This window comes from Homo sapiens, chromosome 8 (assembly GCF_000001405.40).
Source record: "Homo sapiens chromosome 8, GRCh38.p14 Primary Assembly".
In the NCBI taxonomy this organism is placed as follows: domain Eukaryota; kingdom Metazoa; phylum Chordata; class Mammalia; order Primates; family Hominidae; genus Homo; species Homo sapiens.
Window position 1 is genome coordinate 39,185,047 of NC_000008.11, and position 27,735 is coordinate 39,212,781.

General features: G+C 38.2%; 1 protein-coding gene across 13 annotated transcripts in view; it reads left to right on the plus strand.

The window, feature by feature from the left end:
• ADAM32 (ADAM metallopeptidase domain 32) overlaps positions 1-27,735 on the plus strand; it is a 177,389-nt gene that overhangs the window by 77,518 nt on the left and 72,136 nt on the right. For 9 of the 13 annotated variants that reach the window (NM_145004.7, XM_011544433.3, XM_006716298.4 and 6 more), the window contains 2 exons: positions 1,863-1,999; positions 26,098-26,278. In NM_145004.7, coding sequence (NP_659441.4) covers positions 1,863-1,999; positions 26,098-26,278 — 318 coding nt within the window. 13 annotated transcript variants of the gene reach the window in all.

A 27,735-nucleotide genomic window follows, 5' to 3' on the forward strand; every position in this document is an offset into this window, starting at 1 on the left:
TGAGGGTCAGGAGTTCGAGACCAGCCTGGGCAACATGGCAAAACCCAGTCTGTACTAAAAATACAAAAATTAGCCAGGCATAGTGGTGGGTGCCTGTAATCTCAGCTATTCGAGAGGCTGAGGCAGGAGAATCACTTGAACCCAGGAGGTGGAGGTTGCAGTGAGCCAAGATCATGCCATTGCACTCCAACCTAGGCAACACGAGTGAAACTCCATCTCAAAAAAAAAAAAAAAATTCCAACTGGTTTCAGAGAACCAAGATCCATTGCACTATGCTACTGTCATCTCCAGTCTACAAAAAAAAAACAAAAAACAAACAAACAAACAAAAAAACAGCAGAGATTTTTGACGATATTGGTGTGTCTTTCAGCAAAGCATTTCCAAGTGTCTTGAAGGAAATATCCTCCCAGCTCTCTTTGAATGTTTGATCAAGGGTAGTTTCCCAACAGGTTTCACACAGTAGATTCATTCAATATTACCATATTCCTGAAACTCAGCACTTTTTCACCATACAGTATGCCAGGAAAGCTCTAGTATTTTGACCTTACTGACAGTAGGCTCCCATTAAGTCTAATTTCAGTTAACATGACTCCTGCTTTTACTTGGCACATTAAATACAAAATCCCAGGTGAGTCATGAATTACAATAAATTTGTTCCAGTCCAGCCTTCTATTTCATACTGTCTGATCAATCCCTTTCAAAGTATAAATTATCCCCTTCCAGAGCAGTACATTGATACTTCTCCTTCAAGACCATGTTGATAATTAATTCTTGATTTGGACCTAGAGGCAATGTGGGGTAGTGAGACTAATGTTCCAGCTATCGTCATTAAAACTTTTTTTTTTTTTAAATGCAGGGGCTCTCTCATTGTTTGGAGAGGGCTTCCTCTGCTGGCAAGGGAAGTAAAGAGATGTTATTCCAATTGTTCGCCTCCCAAGTTTCAGATTCTAATGCTTTTCCCACCAAATCTGGTAGGTTCCAGCTTGGTCCTCAGCCATGTCAATCCATGACTACAGATGAGTTACTTCATTGCTGCTGCAGAGGCTTTCTGATTCCGTTTGCATTTTCCATTGCTCATTTGCAGCGTTCCCTTTCTGTTCTTCATTATGTGCATCCTTTAGGGCTGTTATAAGAAATTAATTGACTCCAAAATCTTTATTATCCCTATTGTCACCATAGCAATTAAATGTCTTTATCTTCCTCCTCCTGCATCATATCCTATGCCAGCTTTGGTGATAATTTGAGAAATCATGATGTCATTGCATACCATGAATTACCAATGCCCCATTTCTTTTTCGCAAGGAGGTTATCTGTGTTAAATATATAAACAGCCTAATCCAATAGTGCAATCTGAAGGATCTGTTTTCTGTGGCTTCTTTTCATACCAGTCACTGTGTCAATGAAGTTCCTAGTAGGCAGCAGGGTGAGCACTTAAATTGGGTAATTTGGTTAGTGGCCATTTCATGAGCTGGGGGTTAGGGGAGATTATACGGATTATCCAAAATGAGTATTAGAGCTCTTGTAAAAAGTTAGATGAGTTGAAGATTATGGTCCATATAACCAACAGTGTAATGTAGATTTTCTTTATCAAAACAATTTTTTTATATATTGATACTAACTACCTAAGAATTATGTTAGGTGTTCAGTTGTTAAATTATCACAAAGCTTGGCATACACTCAATGTGCTTCTATCTCAGTAAAACTTCATAAGAAGAGCTTCAGCTTCTCACCTGTTCAAGGATCCATATCTCCCTAATTCTTTAGCATTTGATAAAATAATAAAATATTCATAATTAGAAAATTATTTTTACCACCCTTTAGAGAATTATCTTTCCTTAGAATTTTCTTTGTTGTTATTATAGTACCCCAAGGAGATAACTCTGGAGGCATTTGCAGTTATTGTCACCCAGATGCTGGCACTCAGTCTGGGAATATCATATGACGACCCAAAGAAATGTCAATGTTCAGAATCCACCTGTATAATGAATCCAGAAGTTGTGTAAGTTTTAACAATTTATTTATTGCTTATGTTTATTTCATTTTAAATATTCAGAGTGTGAAAATTTAGTATTTACTTAAAGCACAAATTAGCTATCAATGGACCAAATTCACCAAGTATAAACATGTAATTTTAAATGTAAAAGTAGTATAAAGTATAAACTAAAGATAATCAAAGATAACAAATCCAATCTGAAAGATATATTAGCAAAAGAATATGAAAGCACTTAGTATGGATTTTTTTTGAGATGGAGTCTCGCTCTTTCGCCCAGGCCAGACTGCAGTGGCGCTGTCTCGGCTCACTGCAAGCTCTGCCTCCCGGGTTCACACCATTCTCCTGCCTCGGCCTCCCGAGTAGCTGGGACTGCAGGCACCCGCCACCGTGCCCAGCTTATTTTTTGTATTTTTAGTAGAGACCGGGTTTCACCATGTTAGCCAGGATGGTCTCGATCTCCTGACCTCATGATCCGCCCGCCTCGGCCTCCCAAAGTGCTGGGATTACAGGCGTGAGCCACCGCGCCCGGCCAGGATCTTTAAAAATATGTCAGCAGAACATAATAAGTGGCCTTTGTTTTAGACAAGGTGTTTTTGGTTTTGCTTTTAGAATTGTTTGATTTTATGAAAAAAACCCCTAACATCCAAAAGAGTAAGAAGTCCTAGTTGGAGACCAAAATATATATATATATATGTTTGTGTGACTTTGGATAAATTACTTGACTTTGCCTAAGTTTACTTTTCTCATCTTTAAATGGGAATAATTATGCCTATTCTTTTATTTCACAGGGTGATGTAAGAATAAAAGAAAAAATGAAATAGGAAAGGGTTTTCTAAACTGTAGAATTCTATAAGTATGTGATTGATTAGCTACAGTGATTTCTAAACTTATTAATCTTCCCCAGATGATATATCAGACAAGAACTACAGCAGGTGTCATTAGCATTTTGTAGTTTTTCTGTTTGCAAATATGGCCTATGACGTGGGTAACCTATCATAGGTTAAAAGGTCAAAGGTCAAAAGTGAAAATAAGACATTAAATTTTGAAAACATATTATTTTTATGGGTACTCCTAAGCACCTTTTAAGGGTTAACTCTTATGTTCTAAAAACAACTCAAACTCAACATATATACCCACAAAAATAGCTCAAACTCAACATATTTTATATGTGTATACACATGCAATTATATTACAAATTAGCTCTGAAAGGAATGTGTGTATATATGTACATATACACACACAAACACACATAATCACACATATCCATATATGTATATATATAATTGATATGCATATGTCCATATAGATGGATAAATGGAATCTGTCTATCTATCTGTCTGTCTGTCTGTCTATCTATCTATCTATCCATCCATCTATCACAACAACATAAGAATAATTATTTTGGGCTCATTGTTCATATGGCCAGCTATTCTCAAGTATGCTAGGACAATGTTTTGTGTAGGTCACCCAGAGCCTAAGATTAATGATAATAAGATGAACAAATATTTACATTGTACTTACTATGTTCTAGAGACCATTCCAAGCACTTTACATATATTAACTTACTTGATTCTCACAATATCTCTACAGGGCAGTTCCTATTATTCCCATTTTTACAGATGAGAGGCTAAGTTATAAAAAGGATAATTACTTATGGTCAGATGGCTAGTTTGTGGCAGACTTGGGTTTTGAGCCTGTATTAGTAAACCTTTAAGTTCATGTGGTACTTTATATTTAAAATGCTTTCATATATAATCTCCAATTTCTTACAAATCTCTGGTGTATGAGTAGAGTATTATATTAATTTTTACAAAATCTAATAATAGCACACGTGTAACTCTTTTGCATATCCACAGTACATCTCACACATTATGTTAGTTCTCAAAGAAAGCATGTAATTAGTTACATATTTCAATTTAATGTGTTTATTAAAAAGCCCTGGAGTATAAGTAGCTGAAGTGATCTACATTTACTAGATATACAGTTAATTAGTGTACACACTTTAGCAGGTGCCAGTAATACTAGCAGTGATTTACTGTGTACCTATTAAAAGCCAGATAATTGAATTAGACACTTCACTTATTTAATTATACTTAATTCTCACAGCCTCACCTATCTATGAGGTAGATAGGCATTATCCCTATTATGCAGATGAAAATACTAAGACTTAGATAATTTAATCACTTTGCCTAAGGCCTCATAAGTCATAGGGTTGGTATTAGTCAACAAGTTTATCTAATTTCAAAGCCTTGTTTCATTCTCTAGTCTACACTTCCTTCATGTAGAAGACTTAATATATTGGCATTCGCTTAAACTAAGTAGCAAGAGAATATTCATATGTATTTGTTCAAAATTCACTTTTATACTTAAGCGCTCCTTCCATTATATCATTTTTTTTGGGGTAAAACTGTGTCTAAATGTATTATTATTATTGAAAAAATTCTATTGATATATAATAATTGTACATATTTATTTGGTACACGTGATATTTTCATATCTGTATACGTGTGTGATGATCAAATCAGGGTATTTAGAATATCCGTCCTCTCAAACATTTATCATTTATTTGTGTTGAAAACATCAAATCTCCTCTTCTAGCTATTTTGAAATATACAATAAATTACCATTAATTACAGTCACCCTACTTTGCTATTGAACACTAGAACTTATTCTTTCTATCTAACTGTGTCTACTTATTAACCAACCTCTCTTCATTCCCCTACCCACTCTTCCCAGTCTCTGGAAAGCATTATTCTACTCTATATCTTTTTTTTTTGAGATGGAGTCTCGCTCTGTTGCCCAGGCTGGAGTGCGGTGGCGCGATCTCGGCTCACTGCAAGCTTCGGCTCACTGCAAGCTCTGCCTCCTGGGTGCACGCCATTCTCCTGCCTCAGCCTCCCGAGCAGCTGGAACTATAGGCGCCAGCCACCACGCCTGGCTAATTTTGTTTTTGTATTTTTAGTAGAGACGAGATTTCACCATGTTAGCCAGGATGGTCTCGATCTCCTGACCTCGTGATCCGCCTGCCTTGGCCTCCGAAAGTGTCTACTCTATATCTTTATGAGTTAAACTTTTAAAGTCCTGCACATGATTGAGAATTGTGATATTTACCTTTCTGTGCCTGGCTTTTTTCACTTAACATAATGACCTTCTGTTCCATTCATGTTGTTACAAATGAAAAAGTTTACTTCTTTTCTATGGCTGAATAGTATTCCATTGTGATGTATACCACATTTTCTTTATCCATTCATCCACTGATTCACACTTAGGTTTATTCCATGTTTTGGCTATTGTGAATAGTGCTGCAATAAACATGAAGGTTCAGGTATCTTTCTAATATACTGATTTCCTTTACTTTGGATAAATACCAAGTACAAAGATTGCTAGTTTGTATTGTAGTTCTAGTTCTAGTTTTTTGAGAAACCTCCACAATACTTCCTATCATGGCTGTATGAATTTACATTCCCACTGACAGCGTATGAGTTGCCTTTTCTCAACATCATCACCAGTATTTGTTAGTTTTTATGTTGTTTGATAATAACCATTCTAACTGGGGCAAGATGATATCTCATGGCGGTGTTGATTTAAAAATTTCCAATGATTACTGATGCTGAATATTTTTTCGTGTCAGAAAAGAGAGCAGTTTGGCAATTTGTATGTCTTCCTTTGAGAAATGTCTGTTCAAATCCTTTGCCCACTTTTAAGTGAGATTTACTTGTGTGTGCGTTTTTAAATTTTTATTTTAGGTTCAGGGGTACCTGTGCAGTTTGTTATATGGGTACACTTGAGTCATGGGGGTTTGTTGTACAGATTATTTTGCCACCCATGTACTAAGCCTAGTACCCAATAGTTTTTTTCTGATCCTCTCCCTCCTCCCACCTTCCACCCTCAAGTAGGACCCAGTGTCTATTGTTCCTCTGTATGTGTCTATGTGTTCTCATCCTTTAGCTCCCAAATATGTGGTATTTAGTTTTCTGTTCCTGTGTTAGTTTGCTAAAGATAATGGCCTCCAGCTCCATCCATCGTCCTGCAAAAAACATGATCTCATTCTTTTTATGGTTACATAGTATTCCGTGGTGTGCGTGTACCACATTGTCTTCATCTAGTCTACCACTGATGAGCATTTAGGTTAACTTCATGTCTTTGCTGTTGTGAATAGTGCTGCAATGAACATATACATGCGTGAGTCTTTATGATAGAACGATTTATATTCCTTTGGGTATATATCCAGTAGTCACATTGCTGGGTTGAATGGTCGTTCTATTTTTAGCTTTTTGAGGAATCAACACACGTTTTCTACAATGGTTGAACTAATTTACACTCCCACCAACAGTGTATAAGTGTTCCTTTTTCTCCACAACCTCACCAGCATCTGTTATTGTTTGACTTTTTAATAATAACCATTCTGATTGGTATGAGACGGTATCTCATTGTAGTTTTGATGTGCATTTCTCAAATAATCAGTGGTATGGAGCTTTTTTTCATATGCTTGTTTGCTGCATGTATGTCTTCTTTTAAAAAGTGCCTATTCATGTCCTTTGCCCACTTTTTAATAGGGTTGTTTTTTTCTTGTAAATTTGTTTAGGTTCCTTATAGATGCTGGATATTAGACCTTTATCAGATACATAGTTTGAAAATATTTTCTCCTGTTCTGTAAGCTGTTTGTTTACTCTGTTGATAGTTTCTTTTGCTGTGCAGAAGCTCTTTAGTTTTAATCAGATCTCATTTGTCAGTTTTTGTTTTTGTTGTAATTGCTTTTGGAGTCTTCATCATGAAATGTTTCCAGTTCCTATGTACAGAATGATTATTACCTAGGCTGTCTTCCAGGTTTTTTACATTTTGGGCTTTACATTTAAGTCTTTAATCAATCTTGAGTTGATTTATGTATATGATGTAAAGAAGGAGTGTCAGCAGGAATGGTACCCGGTCTTCTTTGTACATCTGGTAGAATTTGGCTGTGACTCTGTCTGGTCTTGGGTTTTCTCTTTTGGTTAGTTGGCTATTTATTATTGAATCAATTCCAGAACTTGTTTTTGGTCCGTTCAGGGATTTAATTTCTTGCTAGTTCAGTCTTAGGAGATTGTATGTGTCCCAGAATTTATTCATTTCTTCTAGATTTCCTAGCTTGTGTGCATAGAGGTGTTTGTAGTAGTCTGTGATGGTTATTTGCATTTCTGTGGGGTCAGTGTAACATCCCCTTTGTCATTTCTAACCTTTACCATTATGTAATGCCCTTCTTTGTCTTTTTTTATCTTTGTCGGTTTAAAGTCTGTTTGCCTGAAATTAGGACTGCAACACCTGCTTTTTTCTGTTCTCCATTTGCTTGGTAGATTTTTCTCCATTCTTTTATTTTGAGCCTATGGATGTCATTGTATGTGAGATGGTTTTCTTGAAGACAGCATATCATTGGGTCTTATTTCTTTTTCTAGCTTACCACTCCATGCCTTTTAATTGGGGCATGTAGCCTGTTTACATTAAGGGTCAATATAAATATGTGTGAATTTGATCCTGCCATCATGTTGTTAGCTGGTTATTTTGCAGACTTGTTTGTGTGGTTGCTTTATAGTGTCATTGCTCTGTGTATTTCAGTGTGTTTTTGTAGTGGCTGGTAACGGTCTTTTCTTTCCACATTTAGTGCTTCTCTCAGGAGCTCTTGTAAGGCACATCTGATAGTAACTAATGCCCTCAGCATTTGCTTGTCTGAAAAGGATCTTTTTTTCACCTTCGCTTATGAAGCTTAGTTTGGCCAAATATGAAATTCTTGGTTGGAATTTCTTTTCTTTAAGAACATTGAATATTGGCCTCTGGTCTCTTCTGGCTTGTGGGGTTTCTGCTGAGAGGTCCACTGTTAGTCTGATGGGCTTCCCTTTGTAGGTGACCTGTCCTTTCTATCTGGCTGCCTTTAACATTTTTTCTTTCACTTTGACCTTGGAGAATGTGATGACTATGTGTCTTGGGAATAATTTTCTTGTGAAGCATATTGTGGAGGTTCTCTGGATTTCTTGAATTTGAATGTTGGCCTCTCTAGCTAGGATGATATCCTGAAATATGTTTTCCAAGTTGCTTCCATTCTCCCCATATCTTTCAGGGTTGCCAATGAGTTGTAGACTTAGTTTCTTCACATAATCCCATATTTCCTGGAGGTTTTGTTCTTTCCTTTATATTCTTTTTTCTTTATTCTTGTGTTACTGTCTTATTTCAGAAAGCCAGTCTTCAAGCTCCAAGATTCTTTCCTTGGCTTGGTCTGTTCTGCTCTTAATAGTTGCAATTGCATTATGAAATTTTTATACTGTGTTTGTCAGCTCTATCAGGTTGGTTATGTTCTTTTCTATCCTGACTATTTTGTCTGTCAGCTCCTGTATCATTTTATTGTGATTCTTAGGTTACTTGAATTGGGTTCAATGTTCTCCTGAATCTCAATGATCTTCATTCCTATCTATATTCTGAATTCTGTTTCTGTCATTTCAGCCATCTCACCTTGGTTAATAACCCTTGCTGGAGTACTAGTTTGGTGTTTGGAGGAAAGAAGACATTCTGGCTTTTTGAGTTGTCCGAGTTCTTCCGCTGGTTCTTTCTCATCTTTGTGGGCTGGTGTTCCTTCAATCCGTGATGTGGTTGTCCTTTGAATTTTTTTTCTTTTATCATATTTGATGACCTTGGGGGTTTGATTTTGGTATCAGGTGGGTTCAGTCGACTGGCTTTGTTTTGGAAGATTTTTAGGGGGCCAAGGCTAGGCTCAGGATTCCTGGACTGCATGCTTTAATTCTGTGGGACTAGTATCATGCCCCAGCTTTGTTCTCTGGCTCCTTGAGATTAGGAACCTGCTTCTGTGGAGGAGCCATGGTGCTCCCAGACTGCTGGCCACAACATTCCAATAGGTGGTGCCAGCCAAAGTGCTTCCTAGGGCAGTGGCAGCAGGATCCATCTTTATTTGCATGTGCCAACAGCAGTGGCGGTGGCGGCACAGTGGGGTGCATGCTTGTCAGTTGCAGGAGGGTGCTAGTGTGTACTGGGGTGCTGGCTTCCATACCAGTGTTTGTAGCAGCGATGGTGACAGCATAGCTCAGGGTGGGGTGGGAAGCCCCCAACAGCTACTGTTCATGTATTTGTGCTGGTGGTGGTGTTAGCATGGGGGCACTGGTGGGTGCAGGACAGTGTGTGCCCTCTGTGCACACTCGCGTGGTTAGCAGTGGCTGCTCAGTGAAGGGGTGGGTTTGCTGTTTTTAATGCCTAGTTTTACGCTGATGTCAGTGTCAGTGCAAGGGTGGGGCTCATGGGCTCTGTGCCTTCCAATGCTCCAGTGGCAATGGTGGTGCAGCAGAGGGATGGTATGGGGTACACCAATGCTGGCAGCAGTGTTTTGGCAGGGTGCACCTGAACTGACGGGGAAGGGGAGGCAAGGTTCTCCTGCACACACAGACACACACACCAGCAAAGCACTGTAGGTGGTGGCCATGGGTGAGTGTGTATAGGTAAAGCATCATAGACAGGCTGCAGTGAAGAGAGGGCACAAGCAAGCTGATATTTGTCTGTGGGGGCTGCTCTGCTGGTCAGATGCAGTCCACCAGTGCAGGAGCTATGATGCAGGTCCCTAGGAGGTATCCTCCCTGGGCAACTGAGGCTGTGCTGCAAGCAGTCATGGCCATGCTGGGTCCGTGGGAGAGTCCACCAGTTAGAGGGGTGCTCAGGTCAGACTGGCCCCATCTCATGGGCAAGACTGCTTTGCAGACTTCAGGTACGACAGTTCCCCTAGGGCTAAAGTCTCGTACGGAAGGAAGTTAAGCCTAGGCAGATGGGTGACGCTGGTCATGCTCTACTACTGACACTCCTGCACCAAACCTCTGGGCTCTACACCGGTTGGAGTTCTGCCTCTGCCACTTCTGTAAGCAGCTCTCCTGGCCAACTCAAGCATCTGTGGTGGTTGGGGGCTCTCCTCCTGCTGGGATTCCAGGGGCCTGTGGTGAGAGCAGGTTGCTTCTTGCCTGTTAAACTCACCCTTTCCCCAGGAGTGTTTTGGGGCCAGGAAGAAGTCTCAGTGCATAGTAGCCTTGTGTAAGGTTCCCAGCTTCCTCCCCCTTCAGCCCAGCATCTGTGTCTTCCCTCTGTCTGCTCTTATTGCCTTCTCTGAAGATCTGCTAGGAGCCCACCAGTCTTCCTAATGTCCCAGTCCCTCAGTGGCAGATGTTATTCCTGGCTGCGTCTAATTGGCCACCTTGCCACCTCTCCCCTTAAATGCGATTATTTTTTTATTTGCCGTTGAGGTTTTTGAGATCCTTGTATATTCTGGATATTAACCACCTATTGGATGAATAGTTTGCAAATATTTTCTTTTATTCTACAGATTGTCTCTTCATTCCATTGATTGTTTCTTTTGCTGTACGTAAGTTTTTTAGTTTAATAGAGTTCCATTAGTCTATTTTTGTTTTTGTTGCCTGTGCTTTTGAAGTCTTAGCCATAAAATCTGCCTAGAACAATGTCCTGAAATATTTCTGTTTTCTTCTAGCAGTTTTACAGTTTCCGGCCTTATGTTTAAGTCCTTAATCCGTTTTGAGTTGATTTTTGTATGTGGTTAGAGATAGGGCCCTAGTTTCATTCTTCTGCATATGGATATCCAGTTATTCCCAGCACACGTATATGTTCTTGGTATCTATGAAGAAAATCAGTTAGCTGTAAATAGATGGGTTTATTTCTTGGCTTTCTATTCTGTTTCATTGCTCTGTTTGTCTGTTTTTATACCAATACTGTTCTGAATTTATTCCTACAGACTTACAGTATATTTTGAAGGATCTTTTGTGGTTCCATATTAATTTTAGGATTGTTTTTTCTACTTATGTGAAGAATATTATTGGTATTTTGTTATGGATTTTGTTGGATCTGTAGATCGCTTTGGGTGGTATGATCATGATAACAGTATTAATTTCTCTACTCCACATGGGTGGATGTTTTTCCATATGTTTTTGTTCTCTTTAATTTTTTTATATCTCTGTTTCGTAGTTTTTGTGTAGAAGTCTTTTACCTCCTTGGTTCAGTTTATTTCTAGGTATTTTATATTTTTCATGGCTATTGTAAATGAGATTGCTTTCTTGATTTATTATTCAGCTAGTTTGTTTCTGGAGAATAGAGAGGCTACTAATTTTTGTATGCTGATTTTGAATCCTGCAATTTTACTGAATTTGTTGATCAGTTTTTAGAGTTTTTTGGTGGAATCTTTGATTTTTCTATATATAAGAGCATGTCACCTACAAGGAGGGAAAATTTGACTTCTACATTTCCAGTTTGGATGCCTTTTATTTCTCTTCTCTAATTCCTCTGGCTAGGATTTTCAGTACTATGTTGGTTAAAAGTGGTGAAAGTGGTATTCTTGTCTTGTGCCAGTTATTGGGAGAAAGGCTTTAAGCTTTTTCCTGTCCAGTAGGGTGTTAGCTGTGGGTTTGTTATATATGGCCCTATTATGCTGAGGTACATTTTTTCTATATCTAACTTATTGATAGTATTTATCATGAAGCCATGTTGAAATTTGTCAAATGCATTTTCTGTGGCTATTGAAATGATTTTGCGGTTTTTGTCCTTCATTCTGTTGATGTGATGTATCATATTTACTAATTCATATATGTTAAACCATCCTTGCAATCTTGGTATAAATCATACTTGATCATTATATAATATATCTCCTTGATGTGTTGTTGGATTAGGTTTACTAATACGTTGTTGAGAATTTTTGTGTCTATGTTCATTGGGGATATTGGCCTGTAGTTTTCTTTTTTTTTGTTGTGTCCTTGTCTGATTTTCCTATCAGGGTAATGCTGGCCTCCCTCAAGACTGAGTTAGTGAGAATTTCCTTTTCTTTGATGTTTTGGAATAGTTTGAGAAAAACTGGTGTTAGTTCTTCCTTATATGTTTGATAGAATTTAGCAGTAAAGTCATGTGGTTATGGGCTTTCTTTGTTGGGAGACTTTTGATTATTGATTCAGTCTCATTACTTGTTATTAGATTGTTCAGGTTTTCTATTTCTTCCTTGTTCAATCTTGGCAGGTTGTATGTGTCCAGGAATTTATCTGTTTCCTCTAGGTTTTCCGATTTGTCAGCATAGAGTTGTTCACAATAGATTCTAATGATTTTTTGTATTTTTGTGGTATCTGTTGTAATGTCTCGTTATCATTATTTAATTTATTGGGTCTTTACTCATTTTTTCTTGTTTAGTCTAGATATCTGTGTATCAATTTTGTTTACGTTTTCCAAAAATTAATTTTTGCTTCTTTAGTTCTTTTTATTTTTTAGGTTCTATTTCATTTATTTCTGCTCTGGTCTTTATTTTTTTCTACTAATTTTGGGTTTGGTTTTTTCTTGCTTTTCTAGTTCCTGAAGTACATCATTAGGTTATTTGAAATATTTCTACTTTTTTGATGACATTTATTATCATAAAATTCTGTCTTAGTACTTCTTTTGTGTATGTCACTAGTTTTGATATTATTTTGTTTTCATTTTCATTTGTTTCAAGAAATTTGTTGTTTCCTTCTTAATTTATTCATTGACCCAATGGTTATTCAGGAGCATTCGTTTACCTTTCATGTATTTGTACAGTTTTCAAAATTCCTATTATTATTGATTTTTACTTTTATTTCATATGGTCTAAGAAGGTACTTAATATGTATTCAGTGTTTTAAAATTAATTGAGACTTCTTTTGTGGCCTAACATGTGGACTATGCTGGAGAATGTTCCATGTACTAATGAAAAGAATGTTTAGACTGCAGCTATTAGATGAAATCTTCCATATATATCTGTTAGGTTTATTTGCTTGATAGTGCTGCAGATTAAATCTGATGTTTCTTTGTTGATGTTCTGCCTAGATGATCTGTCCAATGCTTCAAGAGGGGTGTTGGAGTCAACAACTATTATTGTATTGGGGTCTATTTCTCTGTTTACTTCTAATAATATTTGTTTTATATATCTGGGTGCTCCATTGTTTGGTGCATATATATTTATAATTTTTATGTACTCTTGCTGACTTGTTCTCTTTATCATTATATAATGACTTGGTTTTTTTTATGTGTTTTATCCTATAATCTATTTTTTTTCTGACATAAGTATAGCTACTCTTTCATGCTTTTGGTTTCTGTTTGTGCAGAATTTTTTTTCCTATTCCTTCACTTTTGGTCTACATGTCTTTACAATGTGAGTTTTTATAGGCAGCATATATATTTTTAAATCCTTTCAGCCAGTCTATATTTTTTAATTTAGAAATTTAAGCCATTTACATTTGATATTGTTATTAATAAATTAGGACTTACTCCTGTCATTTGTCAATTGTTTTCTGATTGATATATTCTTTCTTTCATTCTTCCTCTTTTTTTCTTTTAGGCAGGGTCTCACTTTGTCACTCAGGCTGGAGTGAAGTGGTGTGATCTTGGCTCACTGCAACCTCTGCCTCCCGGGTTCAAACGATTCTCCTGCCTCAGCCCCTCAAGTAGCTGGGACTACAGGTGTGCACCACCATGCCTGGCTAACTTTTGTGTTGTTAGTGGAGATGGGGTTTCACCATGTTGGCTATGCTGGTCTCGAACTCCTGACCTCAGGTGATCCACCCACCTTGGCCTTTCAAAGTGCTGGGATTACAGGCGTGAGCCATCATGCTCAGCCTTTCTTCCTGTTTTATTGTATACCTTTACATTAGATAATTTGGGTTGTGATAGCGTTTAACATTTTTTTTTTCTCTTCTCCTTTTCTTTTCTCTTCTCCTTTTCTTTTCTCATCTATTCCACCAGTGAGTTGTACACTTGTATGTGTTTTCAGGATGGTAGCTATTCTCCTTTTACTTCCTGGTTTAGGATTCTCTTAAGCATTTCTTATAGGACTAGTCTAGTGGTGACAAATTCTTTGTTTTTTTCTTGTCTGAAAAAGACATTCTATTTCTCTTTCATTTTTGAAGGATAGCTTTGCTGTGGATAATATTCTTGGCTGATAGTTGTTTTCTTGCAGTACTTTGAATATATACTTTCATTCTCTCCTGGCCTATAAGGTTTCTGCTGAGAAATCTACATTTATTCTCATGGGTAGTCCTTTATACATGACTTGACATTTTTCTCTTTCTGCTTTTAGAATTCTCTCTTTGTTTTTGAATTTTGGTAGTTTGACTATACGTGCCTTGAACAAGACCTTTTTGGGTTGAACATATTTCAAGATCTTTAGTTACCTGTATCTTGATGTCTATATCTCTTGCAAAACTTTGGAGAGTTTCAGCTATTATTCCTTACATAAGTCATCTATGCCTTTACGTCTCTTCTCCTTCTAGTCCCAAAATGTGAATATTTTGTTCCTGTATGCTGTTTCATGTGTCATGTAGGCTTTCTGTCATATATGTATATAATTTGTCTGATCAGGTCATTTAAAAAGCTCTGTCTTCAAGTTCAGAAATTCTTTCTTCTGATTAATCTGGTCTACTATGGAAACTCTCATTTGTATTTTTAATTTTATTTATTGAAATAATCACTTTCAAGGTTTCTGTTTGATTCTTTTTTATGATATCTATCTCTTTGTTAAATTTCTCATTGAAATTATGAATTGTTTTCCTGATTTCTTTTTTTTTAACTTTTTAAAATTATACCTTAAGTTCTAGGGTACATGTGAACAATGTGCAGGTTTGTTACATATGTATACATGTGCCATGTTGGTGTGCTGCACCCATTAACTCATCATTTACATTAGGTATATCTCCTAATGCTATCCCCCCCACCACCCCCCACCCCACAACAGGCACCGGTGTGTGATGGTCCCCTTCCTGTGTCCAAGTGTTCTCACTGTTCAATTCCCACCTATGAGTGAGAACATGCGGTGTTTGGTTTTTTGTCCTTGCGATAGTTTGCTGAGAATGATGGTTTCCAGCTTCATCCATGTCCCTACAAAGGACATGAACTCATCATTTTTTATGGCTGCATAGTATTCCATGGTGTATATGTGCCACATTTTCTTAATCCACTCTATCACTGATGGACATTTGGGTTGGTTCCAAGTCTTTGCTATTGTGAATAGTGCTGCAATAAACATATGTGTGCATGTGTCTTTATAGCAGCATGATTTATAATCCTTTGGGTATATACCCAGTAATGGGATGGCTGGGTCAAATGGTATTTCTAGTTCTAGGTCCTTGAGGAATTGCCACACTGTCTTCCACAATGGTTGAACTAGTTTACAGTCCCACCAACAGTGTAAAAATGTTCCTATTTCTCCACATCCTCTCCAGCACCTGTTATTTCCTGACTTTTTAATGATTGCCATTCTAACTGGTGTGAGATGGTATCTCATTGTGGTTTTGATTTGCATTTCTCTGATAGCCAGTGATGATGAGCATTTTTTTCATGTGTCTGTTGGCCGCATAAATATCTTCTTTTAAGAAGTGTCTGTTCATCTCCTTCGCCCACTTTTTGATGGGGTTGTTTGTTTCTTTCTTGTAAATTTGTTGGAGTTCTTTGTAGATTCTGGATATTAGCCCTTTGTCAGATGAGTAGATTGCAAAAATTTTCTCCCATTCTGTAGGTTGCCTCTTCACTCTGATGGTAGTTTCTTTTGTTGTGCAGAAGCTCTTTAGTTTAATTAGATCCCATTTGTCAATTTTGGCTTTTGTTGCCATTGCTTTTGGTGTTTTAGACATGAAGTCCTTGCACATGCCTATGTCCTGAATGGTATTGCCTAGGTTTTCTTCTAGGGTTTTTATGGTTTTAGGTCTAACATTTCAGTCTTTAATCCATCTTGAATTAATTTTTGTATAAGGTGTAAGGAAGGGATCCAGTTTCAGCTTTCTACATATGGCTAGCCAGTTTTCCCAGCACCATTTATTAAATAGGGAATCGTTTCCCCATTTCTTGTTTTTGTCCGGTTTTTCCAAGATCAGATGGTTATAGATGTGTGGTATTATTTCTGAAGGCTCTGTTCTGTTCCATTGGTCTATATCTCTGTTTTGGTACCAGTATCATGCTGTTTTGGTTACTGTAGCCTTGTAATATAGTTTGAAGTCAGGTAGCGTGATGCCTCCAGCTTTGTTCTTTTGGCTTAAGATTGACTTGGCAATGAGGGCTCTTTTTTGGTTCCATATGAACTTTAAAGTAGTTTTTTCCATTTCTGTGAAGAAAGTCATTGGTAGCTTGATGGAGATGGCATTGAATGTATAAATTACCTTGGGCAGTATGGCCATTTTCACAATATTGATTCTTCCTACCCATGAGCATGGAATGTTCTTCCATTTGTTTGTGTCCTCTTTTAGTTCGTTGAGCAGTGGTTTGTAGTTCTCCTTGAAGAGGATGTAGTTCACATCCCCTGTAAGTTGGATTCCTAGGCATTTTATTCTCTTTGAAGCAATTGTGAATGGGAGTTCACTCATGATTTGGCTCTCTGTTTGTCTATCATTGGTATATAGGAATGCTTGTGATTTTTGCACATTGATTTTGTATCCTGAGACTTTGCTGAAGTTGCTTATCCGCTTAAGGAGATTTTGGGCTGAGACGTTGGGGTTTTCTAGATATACAATCACGTCATCTGCAAACAGGGACAATTTGACTTCCTCTTTTCCTAATTGAATACCCTTTATTTCTTTCTCCTGCCTGATTGCCCTGGCCAGAACTTCCAACAGTATGTTGAATACGAGTGGTAAGAGAGGGCATCCCTGTCTTGTGGCAGTTTTCAAAGAGAATGCTTCCAGTTTTTGCCCATTCAGTATGATATTGGCTGTGGGTTTGTCATAAATAGCTCTTATTATTTTGAGATACATCCTATCAATACTTAATTTATTGAGAGTTTTTAGCATGAAGGGCTGTTGAATTTTATCAAAGGCCTTTTCTGCATCTATTGAGATAACCATGTGGTTTTTGTCTTTGGTTCTGTTTATATGCTGGATTACATTTATTGATTTGCATTGATGAACCAGCCTTGCATCCCAGGGATGAAGCCCACTTGATCATGGTGGATAAGCTTTTTGATGTGCTGCTGGATTTGGTTTGCCAGTATTTTATTGAGGATTTTTGCATTGATGTTCATCAGGGATATTGGTTTAAAATTCTCTTTTTTTGTTGTATCTCTGCCAGGCTTTGGTATCAGGACGATGCTGGCCTCATAAAATGAGTTAGGGAGGATACCCTCTTTTTCTATTGATGGGAATAGTTTCAGAAGGAAGGATACCAGCTTTTTCTTGTACCTCTGGTAGAATTTGGCTGTGAATCCATCTGGTCCTGGACTTTTTTTGGTGGGTAGGCTCTTAGTTATTGCCTCAATTTCAGAACCTGTTATTGGTCTATTCAGAGATTCAACTTCTTCCTGGCTTAGTCTTGGGAGGGTGTATGTGTCCAGGAATTTATCTGTTTCTTCTAGATTTTCTAGTTTATTTGCGTAGAGGTGTTTATAGTATTCTCTGATGTTAGTTTGTATTTCTGTGGGATCGGTGGTGATATCCCCTTTATCATTTTTTATTGCGTCTATTTGATTCTTCTCTCTTTTCTTCTTTGTTAGTCTTGCTAGCAGTCTATCAATTTTGTTGATCTTTTCAAAAAACCAGCTCCTGGATTCATTGATTTTTTTGAAGGGTTTTCTTTTGTATCTCTATCTCCTTCAGTTCTGCTCTGATCTTATTTCATTCTTGCCTTCTGCTAGCTTTTGAATGTGTTTGCTCTTGCTTCTCTAGTTCTTTTAATTGTGATGTTAGGGTGTCAGTTTTAGATCTTTCCTGCTTTCTCTTGTGGGCATTTAGTGCTATAAATTTCCCTCTACACACTGCTTTGAATGTGTCCCAGAGATTCTGGTATGTTGTGTCTTTGTTTTTGTTGGTTTCAAAGAACATCTTTATTTCTGCCTTCATTTTGTTATGTACCCAGTAGTCATTCAGGAGCAGGTTGTTCAGTTTCCATGTAGTTGGGTGGTTTTGAGTGAGTTTCTTAATCCTGAGTTCTAGTTTGATTGCACTGTAGTCTGAGAGACAGTTTGTTATAATTTCTATTCTTTTACATTTGCTGAGGAGTGCTTTACTTCCAACTATGTGGTCAATTTTGGGATAAGTGTGATGTGGTGCTGAGAAGCATGTATATTCTGTTGATTTGGGGTGGAGAGTTCTGTAGATGTCTATTAGGTCTACTTGGTCCAGGGCTGAGTTCAAGTCCTGGATATCCTTGTTAACTTTCTGTCTCATTGATCTGTCTAATGTTGACAATGGGGTGTTAAAGTCTCCCATTATTATTGTGTGGGAGTCTAAGTCTCTTTGTAGGTCTCTAAGGACTTGCTTTATGAATCTGGGTGCTCCTGTATTGGGTGCATATATATTTAGGATAGTTAGCTCTTCTTGTTGAATTGATCCCTTTACCATTATGTAATGGCCTTCTTTGTCTCTTTTGATCTTTGTTGGTTTAAAGTCTGTTTATCAGAGACTAGGATCGCAACCCCTGCCTTTTTTTGTTTTCCATTTGCTTGGTAGATCGTCCTCCATCCCTTTATTTTGAGCCTATGTGTGTCTCTGCATGGGAGATGGGTCTCCTGAATACAGCACACTGATGGGTCTTGACTCTTTATCCAATTTGCCAGTCTGTGTCTTTTAATTGGAGCATTTAGCCCATTTACAATTAAGGTTAATATTGTTATGTGTGAATTTGATCCTGTCATTATGATGTTAGCTGGTTATTTTGCTCGTTAGTTGATGCGGTTTCTTCCTAGCATTGATGGTCTTTACAATTTGTCATGTTTTTGCAGTGGCTGGTACTGATTGTTCCTTTCCATGTTTAGTGCTTCCTTTAGGAGCTCTTATAAGGCAGGCCTGGTGGTGACAAAATCTCTCAGCATTTGCTTGTCTGTAAAGGATTTTATTTCTCCTTCACTTATGAAGCTTAGTTTGGCTGGATATGAAATTCTGGGTTGAAAATTCTTTTCTTTAAGAATGTTGAATATTGGCCCCCACTCTCTTCTGGCTTGTAGAGTTTCTGCTGAGAGATCCGCTGTTAGTCTGATGGGCTTCCCTTTGTGGGTAACCGGACCCGTCTCTCTGGCTGCCCTTAACATTTTTTCCTTCATTTCAACTTTGGTGAATCTGACAATTATGTGTCTTGGAGTTGCTGTTCTCAAGGAGTATCTGTGTGGCATTCTCTGTATTTCCTGAATTTGAATGTTGGCCTGCCTTGCTAGATTGGGGAAGTTCTCCTGGATAATATCCTGCACAGTGTTTTCCAACTTGGTTCCATTCTCACCATCACTTTCAGGTACACCAATCAGACGTAGATTTGGTCTTTTCACATAGTCCCATATTTCTTGGAGACTTTGTTCATTTCTTTTCACTGTTTTTTCTCTAAACTTCTTTCTCGCTTCATTTCATTCATTTGATCTTCAATCACTGATACTCTTTCTTCCAGTTGATCGAATCAGCTACTGAAGCTTGTGCATTTGTCACGTAGTTCTCGTGCCATGGTTTTCAGCTCCATCAGGTCATTTAAGGACTTCTCTACACTGGTTATTCTAGTTAGCCATTCGTCTAATATTTTTTCAAGCTTTTTAGCTTCTTTGTGATAGGTTCAAACTTCCTCCTTTAGCTTGGGGAAGTTTGATCATCTGAAGCCTTCTCTCAACTCATCAAAGTCATTCTCCATACAGCTTTGTTCCATTGCTGGCGAGGAGCTGTGTTCCTTTGGAGGGGTAGAGGCACTCTGATTTTTAGAATTTTCAGCTTTTCTGCTCTGTTTTATCCCCATCTTTGTGGTTTTGTCTACCTTTGGTCTTTGATAATGGTGACGTACAGATGGGGTTTTGGTGTGAATGTGCTTTCTGTATGTTAGTTTTCCTTCTAGCAGTCAGGACCCTCACTGCAGGTCTGTTGGAGTTTGCTGGAGGTCCACTCCAGACCCTGTTTGCCTGGGTATCAGCAGCGGAAGCTGTAGAACAGCGAATATTGCTGCACAGCAAATGTTGCTGCCTGATCATTCCTCTGGAAGTTTTGTCTCAGAGGGGTACTTGGCCCTGTGAGGTGTCAGTCTGCCCCTACTCAGGGGTGCCTCCCAGTTAGGCTACTCGGGGGTCAGGGACCCACTTGAGGAGGCAGTCTGTCTGTTCTCCGATCTCAAACTCCATGCTGGGAGAACTACTACTCTCTCCAAAGCTGTCAGACAGGGACATTTAAGTCTGCAGAGGTTTCTGCTGCCTTTTGTTTGACTATGTGCTGCTCCCAGAGGTGGAGTCTACAGAGGCAGGCAGGCCTCCTTGAGCTGCGGTGGGCTCCACCCAGTTTGAGCTTCCAGGCAGCTTTGTTTACCTACTCAAGCCTCGGCAATGGCAGGCGCCCCTCCCCCAGCCTCGCTGCCACCTTGCAGTTCCATCTCAGACTGCTGTGCTAGCAATGAGTGAGGCTCCGTGGGCGTGGGACCCTCTGAGCCAGGCGTGGGATATAATCTCCTGCCGTTTGCTAAGACCATTGGAAAAGCACAGTATTAGGGTGGGAGTGACCTGATTTTCCAGGTGCCATCTGTCACAGCTTCGCTTGGTTAGGAAAGGGAATTCCGTGACCCCTTGCACTTCCTAGGTGAGGTGGTACCTTGCCCTGCTTCGCCTCACACTTGGTGCGCTGCACCCACTGTCCTGCACCAACTGTCCGACAAGCCCCAGTGAGATGAACCTGGAACCTCAGTTTGAAATGCAGAAATCACCCATCTTCTGCGTTGCTCAGGCTGTGAGCTGTAGACTGGAGCTGTTCCTATGCTGCCATCTTGGAACCTCCTTAAAATTATATTTCCTGATTTCTTTGTATTATTTATCTGTGCTCTGTTTTGTCTCACTAAGTTTCTTTACTATCATTATTTTGAATTCTTTTTCAGACGTTTCATAGATTTCTTTTTGTTTTGGCTCTGTTACTGCATAATTTTTGTATTCCTTTAGAGGAATATTTTTTCTTTCTTGTTTCATTCATATTTTTGTGTCTTTACATTAATATTGGCACATCTGGTGTATCAGTTGCTTCTTACAATTTAATGAGTTGACTTTCATGGGGAAATACTTTTCCCTGTAGATGTATTTATAGTATTAGTTGGATAGGATATTTTGGCCTTATTTATTGGTGAGCACAGAATTGTAGTCTCCATAGGATTTCTTTGTCTGTTAGCAGCATCAGTGGTGTTTATGAGTTCCCCAGTAGCTTGGTCTGTGTTTGTTAGTGGAGGCTGTGGTGAGGTTCTGCTAAGGACAAGGATGCCAGGTTTATTGGTCCTTCAGCACCCGTGGTGGTGGTAGTAGGCAGGGCTTGCTGGAGCCTTCAGGTGGCATAGAAAGGCACCAGTGATGGTGGTTTTGAGTGGATTGTTCTTCTGGCATCCAAGTGACATGCTCAGGTGCCAGCAGTGGTGGCAGTTGGTAGACTGGGCCTGTTCTCAGGTTTCCAGATGGTCTGCATGGGCACTGAAGTCAGCAGGTGGGGCAAGCTTGTCCTCAGGCCCCAGGACAGCATGTTATCAGGCCAGTCCTAAGTCCCTCTGAAGGTAGATGCAGGTACACAGTGACCTTGACATTGGAGGGTTCTGGGTTGCTGTCAGTTGCAGCAGACCTGGGTAGGAAGCTTTCAAGCTCTGGGGAGCATTTGTTTGGTTCCCTTCATCCTTGAGGTCACCTTCTTGGTGCACTGCACCACTCATTTCCTGGGCTATAGACACTGAATCAGCTAGAGTGCTGGAGACACAACTACATTCCTGGGTCAATCCTGTTTTGTGACACTGCAGCCCTCTGGGTGGATGTGGGGGTATGTCAATGGGATGATAGGGATGTGGAGATGCTGGAACTGTTGGGATTCAGTTCAGGATCTGAACCTGAATCTGGTGGTTTGGTGGGGCTGGGCTCTCAAAATAGTATAGTGCTGTGTCAGCTTGGGTCTTGGTGGGTGGGGGATGGGGGTGTTTGGGATCCAGCACAAACACCGTCTGTGGAACAATACCAACTTGTGGACTCGAAGCACCTGCCTATACTAATCTCAGAGCCTGTGTGGACTGAGGCACTGTCCCACCGCTAGGACTGTAGCTGTCCACAATAGGAATGTGGATGGCTGGGGATCTTGTTTACCTTTTCTTGCAGTGAGGATTTGCTTCTGGATTTGAGCTTATTATGGCCAGGCTGGCTTCTCTGCTCCTCTGTCTTTCTACATCTCAGAAGTTTTTTTTGTCACTTCTCCAATGAATTCCAGTGCTTGCTCTTAGAACCTCTATTTAATGCCTGGTTATTTACTTGCTCTTTTGGTCTTTTTTGTGCATGAGAAAAGTGCCAGGCTCCCCTACTCAGCCATTTTGAAGCCCCCTCCTATTCCTGATATATCATTTTGATAATTTGATTTATATATACTTTTTAAAAGTGACAACTCATGTCTTTTTTTATTCATACATTTTAAAAATTTATAATGGACCAAAATTTTTACGTGTATATGGGGGTACAGTGTAATGTTTCAACATATGCATATATTGTATAATGATGAAATTAGGGTAATTCCCATATCCATCACTATAAACATTTATCATTTCAGCATGACAATAACATTCAAAATCTGCTCTTCTAGCTGTCTTGGAATATGCACTACATTGTCATTTGGTATAGTCACCCTACTGTGTAATAAAATACCAGAACTTATTCTTCCTGTTTAACTAACTTTTACACATTAACCAACCTCTCCCAGTCTTCCTCTCTCTCTTTCCCTCACCAGCCTCTGGTAACCACTATTCTACTCTCTATTTTTATGAAATCAACTTTTTTTATGAAATCAACTTTTTAAAAATTTCACACGTGAGTGTGATCATGAGGTGTTTGTCTCTGTGTCTGGCTTATTTCACTTAACATAATGTCCTCCTGCTCCATTTATATTGTCAGAAATGATAAGATTGCATTCCTTTTTATGGTGGAATAATATTCCATTTATATATATACCACATTTTAAAAATCAGTTTATCTGTAGATGGGCATTTAGATTAATTTCATGTCTTGGCTATTGTGAATAGTGCTGCAGTAAACATGGGAGTGCAAATATCTCTGTGACATTCTGATTTTTTTTTACAGATATATACCCAGTTGTGGATTGCTAGATCATATAGTAGTCCTATTTTTAGTTTTTTGAGGAAGATTCATATTGTTTTTCATAATGGTTGTGTAATTTACATTTTCACTAAGAATGTTCAAGATATTGCCTTTATCCTCATCTTTTATAGTGTGTAATTTTTTGTCTTTTTGATAATACCCACTTTTTGATCACAAAGAATGAAACAAACACAACCTGAAAAACTCTACACTTTAACTCCCTTCTCCCCAATTTTGACTTTTTGATCTCTAAATTCACATATTTTTATATTACCTATCTCTTAAAAATTGTTGTAGTTATTGTTTTCAATATCTTTGGCTTTTAATCTTTATACCAAAGATATGAATGGTTTACACACCATAGTTACAGTGTTAGAGTGTTCTAAATTTGTTTGTTTACTTTTATACCTTCACATGTGTTCTTGTTGCACATTAGCATTCTTTTCTGTCAGACTGAAAAACTTCTTTTAGCATTTCTTATGGTTTGGTGGTGATGAATTCCCTCCACTTTCATTGGTCTAAGAGTTTTGAATCACTTCTTCATTTTTAAGGATAGTTTTCCTGGGTACAATATTCTTGGTTGAAAGTTTTTTCCTTCAGGACTTGGAATATGTCATTCCAGTCCTTCCTGGTCTTTAAGGTTTCCATAGAGAATTCTGCTGCCAGATGTACTGGCACTCCTTCATATGTTATTTGCTTCTTTTCTCTTACTGCTTTTAGGAGTCTCTATTGTCTTTGACCTATGAGAGTTTGATTATTATATGCGTTGAGGTAGTTTTATTTCGGTTGACTCTTCTTGGTGATCTTTGACCTTCTTGTAACTGGATATTTATATTGAGGTTTGGACAATTTTCCATTATTATTTATTTGAATAACCTTTCTACCCCCTTTCTCTTCCTCTACTCCCTTTGAAGGTCAATGACTCTTACATTTGCTATCTCACTGATCCAATAACTGTTCTTTGTTCTTTTAAATAACTTTTCTACCCCCTTTCTCTTCCTCTACTCCCTTTGAAGGTCAATGACTTGTACATTTGGTATCTCACTGATCCAATAAGTGTTATTTGTTCTTTTAAATTCACTTTTTCTTTTTTCTTCTTGACATATTTTCAAATAGCCTGTGTTTGTGCTCGTGAATTCTTCCTTTTGTTTGATCACTTCTGCTTTCGAGACCCTCTAATACATTTTTCAGTTTATCTATTATTGCTCCAGGAATTCTGCTTGATTTTTAAACTTATTTCAATCTCTTTGTTAAGTATCTCTGATAATTAATTTTCTGAATTGTTTCTCTGTGTTTTCTTGATGTTATTTGAGCTTCCTCAAAACATCTATTTTGCATTCTCTGTGTAAGAGTTTACACATATTTCTCCAGGTTTGGTTACTGGTGCCTTATTTATTATACTTGATGGGATCATATTTTCCTGAATGTTATTAATGCTTGTGGATGTATCTGGGCATTAAATAATTAAGTATTTCTTCTCATCTTTACAGTCTGGCCTTGTTTGTATTGGTCCTTCTTCAGAGGACCTTACAGAAATTCCAAGAGTACTGACTGATGAGTTAAGACCATGGTCACTGCTGCCATTTCAGCACTAGATAGCACCTTAAGCTCAATTACGCTGTGGCTCTCTTGAAGATTCCTATGCATCCAACCCTGATGGACTTGGGGAATATCAGAGACAGTTCTGTGGGTTTCCAAGCCCAAAGTCTCTTGCTCACTTCCTTTTTCTTCCCCTAGCAGAAGGAGTTGCTCTCTATACTGCACTGTCTGGAGTTGCTGGAGAGGTGATACATGCACTTTCATGGCCACTGCAACTGGCAGCATACTGGCTTACACCTGAAGCCCATGGCCTCATAGACCAGCACAGTAATGGTTAGGGTTTGCTCACCTAACACCCACAGTCACTATTACCTGACTGCTGCTGATATTTATTCATGGCCTAAAGCTTCTTTCATCAGCCAGTGGTGAAGCTGGCCAAGGCTTGGCTCTATCCTGCTGGGGTGATGAATTTTCTTCTTAGCTGGGGCAGGTCTAGAAATCTGTGGGCACCAGCCTGGAATCAGGGACCATGGGGTTCAGCCTGGTGCTGTGTTTTACGGTAGTGGGGCTGGTACAGGCTTTTCAGGCAAAGTCCCATGCACACTTCCTTCTCCCTCTCCTAAAAAGACAAATTCACTCTCTATGTGCATTGCTTCAGATTGGGGACGGGATGGTGTAGGCAACGCAAAACTGTCATTCCTATGCTCTTCAATGTGTCTTTTCTTGTTGTTATGCCAAAACCAGTTACTGTGATCTTTTACCTCATTCTTTTAGCTCTTGTGAAGGTGTTTTCTTGCATGGATAATTGTTCACTTCAGTGTCCCTACAGAGGGATGATCACTGGAGGGTTCTATCCCGTGCTCTTACTCTGCCTCCTCTTCCACATCTGATATCTTAAATCGTCACTTTCAAGACAATGTGCACAGCCAAATCAGTAATGAAATCTGGCACATAATAGGTACTCAATAAATCTCAGTTTCTTCCTTGCCTTACAGATGTTTACTACATACAAATATAGTAAAAATGGACTTCCTATGGAACTAGTCAATGAATTCTCTTTATTATTGGTATATGGACATAATAATATATAATTTTGATAAATATACACTTTTTTTCTGAGATCTTCAGGACTAAGCACATTATCATTTGTTTAATAAAATTTTGTGGTTAATTGGGTGCTAATTTTTATTTGAAGTGATGTCTGTCCAAATCTGGGTGCTGATTTTTATTTGGAATAATATCTGCTCAAATCCTTTGCCTATTTTAAAATTGGATTACTGTGTGTGTGTGTGTGTTGCTATTGAATTGTACTTAATTTTGTTTTATTAAGAACATGTATTCCAGTGAATAAAATCACATGACATCCTCAAGTATGATTTTGGCCTCTAAGCACTTATTATAAACATTTGTAACAGCCAATTGAATTTAACATTTTGAAATTAATTTATATCATATAGAAATGTGTTTCCAGAAGTATACTGCCAATGACATTATATGGATTCATCTTTAGGCAATCCAATGGTGTGAAGACTTTTAGCAGTTGCAGTTTGAGGAGCTTTCAAAATTTCATTTCAAATGTGGGTGTCAAATGTCTTCAGAATAAGCCACAAATGCAAAAAAAATCTCCGAAACCAGTCTGTGGCAATGGCAGATTGGAGGGAAATGAAATCTGTGATTGTGGTACTGAGGCTGTAAGTATGATAACTAGGAAAATTGATTAATAAATTTATTGTTTTAATTTATCTTTTTCATAAATGTCATATATCTCAAATGTGAATGAGTACCATGCAGAATGTTGACAGTAAGTGAAGTTGGGTCGAAATACATACAAGAAAATACTGTTTAGATTTTGTAGGTTGAAGAATTTTGAACAAGTTTATAATGTACTGCAAAAAATTATTGGTAATGGGAAACAGGAGAGTCTAGAATAAGCTTTTGAGTTTCAGACTAAATATATAGGGTTCTTTACAAATCTCTGCTTAATCTTTGGACATTTTACAGATGTCTTAATGAAGATTGATTAAGCAGCCCAATGTGTCCTTTAGGTTATTACTTCACAATGGAATCAGTAGTACAGGAATCTGTATCAATATCAATATGAACACTAGATATTTTGATTATTCACTTGATAGGGAAACCCTGAAAATATAATGAATTCAAAAGGCCTAGGGTTTAATGCTTTTATATAATTCAGTATTTGTAGCAGTACTGCAAATGTTATAAATTTCCTTGGTTACAAGGTAGACAGAAATTTATTAGGGTCTGTTACATCCATAGGTCTGAATTACTTGAACCATATCACATTATTTTAATTACTGTGTTTTTGTATTATGTTTAACTATTTGGTAGAACAAGTCATCTTTCTTTATTTTTTATTTTATTTTAATTAATTTATTTTTTGAGATGGAGTTTTGCTCTTGTTGCCCAGGCTGGAGTGCAATGGAGCAATCTCGGCTCACTTCAACCTCCGCCTCCTGGGTTCAAGCGGTTCTCCTGCCTCAGCCTCCCAAGTAGCTGGGATTACAGGTGCCTGCCATCATGCCTGGCTAAGTTTGTATTTTTAGTAGAGACGGTTTCATCACGTTGGTCAGGCTGGTCTCAAACTCCTGACCTCAAGTAATCCACCTGCCTCGGCCTCCCAAAGTGCTGGGATTGCAGGCATGAGCTACCACACCTGGTTCTTGATTTTTTTTAAAAAAATCAATCTTATTGGGGTATAATCCACATACAATAAAATGCACCCATTTTAAGTGTACGGGTTGATGAGTTTCAACAAATGTATATAACTATTGGTAAAATTAAGATGTATATTTTCATCATCCCCAAAAGCTTATTCATATTTGCAGTCATTTCTACCTCCACCTGTCTCCAGATAATTTCTGATTCTGTTACCTTTGCCTGGTCTAGAAAGTCATATAAATGAAATGAGACAGCACATATTTTTTTATGTCTGGCTTTTTCCTTTCAATATAGTGTTTTTGAGATTCATCCATTTATTTCATATCACAATAGTTTCTCCCTTTTAATTTTGAGTAATATTTAATTGTGTGGATATATCACAATCTGTTTTAACCATTCACCTGCTAATGGACATTTAAGTTGTTAAACTATTGGTCCATTATTCTTAATTTGTAGAAGTACAACTTCT